General features: G+C 37.7%; 1 annotated feature.

Moving 5' to 3' along the window:
- Positions 248 to 1447: an enhancer, noted in NCBI's record as "BRD4-independent group 4 enhancer chr6:93097885-93099084 (GRCh37/hg19 assembly coordinates)". NCBI's record gives its function as "activates an origin of replication core promoter dependent on BRD2, P300/CBP, MED14 and CDK7 cofactors, and independent of BRD4, by STARR-seq in HCT116 cells {active_cell/tissue: HCT116}" and the evidence as "EXISTENCE:reporter gene assay evidence [ECO:0000049][PMID:35650434]".

The following is a 4986-nucleotide window of genomic DNA, read 5'->3' as shown; positions in this document are numbered from 1 at the left end:
GATGTCTTTGTCTTTCTAACTATATGGTTTCAAAACTTGTTTTAAAGCATGGTAGTCTTCATCATTGTTGTAGCTAACTCCTACAGGAAAATATGAGCAAACTTAGGTATAATACAAAAATAAATATAGGCTGTAATAGTGAATTTTAGGTTTCAACTGACTAGATGCCCAAATACCTGGTTAAACATTATTTCTGGGTCTGTGAGGGTGTTTCTGGAGGAGATTAGCATTTGAGATGAGGAACTAAACAATGTAGTTGGTCCTCACCAGTGTGGCTGGGCATCATCCAATACACTGAGGGCCTAAATAGAAGAGAAAGTGGGAGGAAGGGAGGAATCACACTCTTGCCTGACTGCGTGAGTGGGGATGACCACCTTCTGCTTCTGGCACTCTTAGTGAGAGGTGAAGCTGCTGGGCTTCTGGGTCGGGTTGGGACTTGGAGAACTTTTCTGTCTAGCTAAAGGATTCTAAACAGATCAGTCAGCACTCTGTGTCCAGCTAAAGGTTTGTAAATGCACCAATCAGCACTCTGTGAAAATGCACCAATGAATGCTCTGTGTCTAGCTAAAGGTTTGTAAACGCACCAATCAGCACTCTGTAAAAACGCACTAATCAGTGCTCTGTGTCTAGCTAAAGGTTTGTAAATGCGTCAGTCAGCACTCTGTAAAAAGGGACCAATCAGCACTCTGTGAAATGGACCAATCATTGCTCTGTAAAATGGACCAATCAGCAGGACATGGGCGGGGCCAAATAAGGGAATAAAAGCTGGCAACCCAAGCCTGCGCTGGCAACCTACTCGGGTTCCCTTCCATGGTGTGGAAGCTTAGTTCTTTTGCTATTCACAGTAAATCTTGCTGTTCCTCGCTCTTTGGGTCCGCACTACCTTTCTGAGCTGTAACACTCACTGCGAAGGTCTGAGGCTTCACTCCTGAAGTTAGCAAGACCGCAAACCCACCAGGAGGAACAAACGATTCTGGACGTGCCACCTTTAAGAGCTGTAACACTCACTGCCAAGGTCTGCGGCTTCACTCCTGAAGTCAAGTGAGACCACGAACCCACCGGAAGGAAGAAACTCCAGACACATCTGAACATCTGAAGGAAAAAACTCTGGACAAACCATCTTTAAGAACTGTAACACTCACTGCGAAGGTCTGAGGCTTCACTCCTGAAGTCAGCAAGACCACGAACCCACCAGGAGCAACAAATGACTCTGGACGCACCACCTTTTAAGAGCTGTAACACTCACTGCCAAGGTCCCTGGCTTCATTCTTGAAGTCAGTGAGACCAAGAACCCACTGGAAGGAACTAATTCTAGACATGCTAGTTCCCAGATCCTGTTTCTCTGGAGAGGCCTAACTAATACATAGACAAAGCCAAATGACTTTTTCCCCTCTCTGAACTTTGATATTCTTTAAACATTTCCAGCTAGTTCTTTTAATATTTCTTGAGGATTTCCTGGGATTTTTTTTTTGGTAAATACTGTATTTCACCAGCTACTCCTTCAAGAACATAGTCGTCATATGCTTTATTATCCATGAAGATTATTAGTGAACCCACAGTTCGTTTGTCAAAATGACTCTAAATTCGTGATATTCAGATGATCACACTCCATAATACTGCCACCAGAGCCAAGTTATTGGAGTTACTACTTTTTATGATCAGCACAATTATTTTTCTATGAAAGAATTGTTGGTATTAAAAGGGCCACAGTAGACTATTTGCTATTGAATGATTGTTGGTTAGTACTTAATTAAAACAAAAATGTTTTTTATAGCTACTTAACTCCAAGTTCCATCTTTTCCATCTCTAGAAGTACATAAGCCTTTTCGTTGAAATAACACATTTTTCTGAAGTAGAACATGATTATTGTTAAGAAATATAAAAATGGCCTTTAATCTCACCATTTAAGATAGAAAGCTTTTCATTTTTTCTATGAACATATGTTTTAGAAATTTATATGACAAAATATATGACGTGATATATTTCTGTTTTATTCTTAAGTAATATTGGACTATTGGGCTATATTATCATAAGTTTTTCTTTTCTTTTCTTTTCTTTTTTTTTATTTTTGAGACAGTTTCACTCTTTTTGCCCAGGCTGGAGTGCAATGGCACAATCTGGGCTCACTGCACCCTCCGCCTCCTTCCTGCCTCAGGCTGCCATGTAGCTGGGATTATAGGTACCTGCCACCACGCCCAGCTAATCTTTGGTATTTTTCATAGAGACAGGGTTTCACAGTGTTGGCCAGGATGATCTCGATCTCTTGACCTCGTGATCCACCTGCCCTAGTCTCCCTAAGTGCTGGGATTACAGGCGTGAGCCACCGTGCCCGGCCTATCATAAGTTTTTCGAAAACGGTTGTTTGTGGCTAAATAATAGTTCTGACATATTAATACTAGCTTTTCACCATTATTATATGTATGATAAATAGTAACAAAACAAAATGACTGAATTTTCCTGTGCTTGTATTGTTATCATTATTGTGGATTTAATCGTTTGCCAAAAATTTTCAAATTATTGCTGGCTCGTAAGGAAATTAAGAGAACTCTTGATAGTGTATATTTATTTTGTGACTAGCCACTTTAATTAGTGATCCTAATGATTTTTTATTTTCCAGTTGATTCTCCCGTGCCTCGGGAAAAAATAAAATAATTTACAAAGAATAATGTTTTATAGACTTCTTTCAATTCCTATGCTTCTTTTATGTTTTTCATCTTATTGAGCTGGTCAAAGTTTATGAGATATTGTAATAAGAGAGGGTGTCCTTGGTATGATGTGAAGTTTGAGGACATGCTTGCAGGATAATGCATTTCTTCATCCTTGAATCTTTTTTTTTTCTGGTGGAATATGAAACCCTTGTATGTATTAATATTTGTAATCCAAAGAAAATGTACCTTGTTTCTTGGTTAACTGACTTTGTTTCCTGAGAGAATTGTTTCACATCCACCCACACCCCCACCTTTTAAAGAGCTATCATCCTTTTTTTTTTTGGTTCACCCTTTCTTGCCCACGTATCTGTCATTTGCCTTTGAGTTTTACGTCTGTGGTTTTTGTCTGTATTTTAGAAGTTCCTTATATCTTCCACATCATAATTTTAAACAGACTTCACTTTGCTTATCCTTATGTCCTCAACATCCAGAATAGGGCATATTGTACATCAGAGTCAAGATCTGTGTGTTCAGTGGAAGAACGTGTGCAGTGTTATTGGTGCCCTTTATCATATGCAGTGGAGTCTCTCTCACTCCCACAGCTTAGAATTTCTGCAAATTTTACCTCATCTTAACCAGCTTCATTTTCCTCCATTTCCATTTATTTTTCTGTAGTTGAGGCAGACATTTTTGACATGTTTACCTCATCTTTCTTTTCTCATTGTGGCTGACTTTCTTCACTTCATGTGAAGAAAGGAAGATAGGAAGTAGCTGTCAAAATTTTCTTATAGTTCCTGCACCATCCTAAAAGGTAAGTGGAGGAAGACAAAGTTGATGTCTCTTTTCCCTTTCAAAGGTCCCATGTTTGTTTATTTCTTTAATTCATGAGCCCCATATTTGGTAAATGAAAGGGGTATGGCATGCCTTTTACCTTACTCAGTGTCTCTTTTTAGGTTAACCACTAGTGGGAGAAATGGAGGATGGCAGATTAATGTAGCAACCAGCTCAGTTGGCAGTTTTCTCTGTGCCTCTGCTAAACTGAATGTATCTCTTCTACTATCCTCATTATTTGTTTTTTGGATTCTCTGAACTATGGCATCCATGATCATCTTTAATTCATACAGTGCCTGCTCTCAGTAGTTTGGTCTTCTCCTTTCAGACCACCACACTTTACTGGTGGAAACGACACCTTAGACTGGATGCAAGCACCACTGGCTAACTTCATTTCTGACCTTTGTTTCCAGAAATTTGCCATGTCCAGATGGATTTAAAAATTACAGGAGATAGGTGCAGCAGATGATCACTGCTCTGGCCATTCCAAAAGCATGCTATAGGAAGTGGCAGCATTTGGTTGGTATCAAAGCTGGGACTCTGGGACTGAAAATATGCAATGGGAAAGAAACAAAATGAGTACCATTTTTGAGGCTGACAATGCTATTATATTTCATAAAATGAAACATGAATATATTTTCTATATTCAGGCCCATGACTTTATGGTTAGGGTAAATACTCCAAAGATTCTGATTATAATATTTCTGTAAGGTGTAGTTTTAGGTGTTTTGTAAGTTAGTAATTTTTTGAAAACTTTATTAGATATTTAAGCGAGGAGTCTACAAGGCTATATGGAAGGTGCTATTTAAACCAGCAGCCTGCACTTATGTTCATTTTCACTCACTCATTCCTTTTAAACTTTTATTTTTCTAATTACCCAAGTTAAAAAAAAACAAATATGGTGCAATGTGAGAAATGTATAAACTAGAACATTAAAGTTTCTAAATTTCTCATCCTCTAGGGTGACCATTGTTAATTTGGTATCTCCCTTGACAGATTTTTGTTTCTATGCATGCACAGCAACATTTTCCAAAGTGAAATATGGAGTACTAGACCGGAAATATTCCAAAAAATTATGCAAAAAAACACAAAATAATTTTAGCAAGTAATTTGACCTAAACAAAATTGTTTTGTGGCCAGATTTTTCAGTGCCTGTAATATACTCATATGCCTTGTGACTCTCTAAAAAAAGGATAAAATATGCATCATTTTCCAAACAATTTGATTATACAGATTACATAACTCTTTTTTGTGGAAGTTATATTCCACTAACATGCTTTGAAAAAACACTGCTTACGTTTTGCTCTATATATTCTTCTGTAATCCATTTTTCACGCTTAACTTATCATTGATATTCCATATCAATGCATTCTAACCTAAATATTTAATACAGTTGCATATTATGCCAGTGAATGAGCACTTCATAATTTAACAAATTTGCTATTGACTAATATTTTGATTGTTTTTAGGTTTTTGCTATTCAGGGCACTAACTACTCCAGTCCTTG

This window comes from Homo sapiens, chromosome 6 (genome assembly GCF_000001405.40).
Source record: "Homo sapiens chromosome 6, GRCh38.p14 Primary Assembly".
Lineage (NCBI taxonomy): Eukaryota > Metazoa > Chordata > Mammalia > Primates > Hominidae > Homo > Homo sapiens.
The sequence above is the reverse complement of the archived record's forward strand: the minus strand, read 5'-3'. Positions and strand labels throughout refer to the sequence as shown.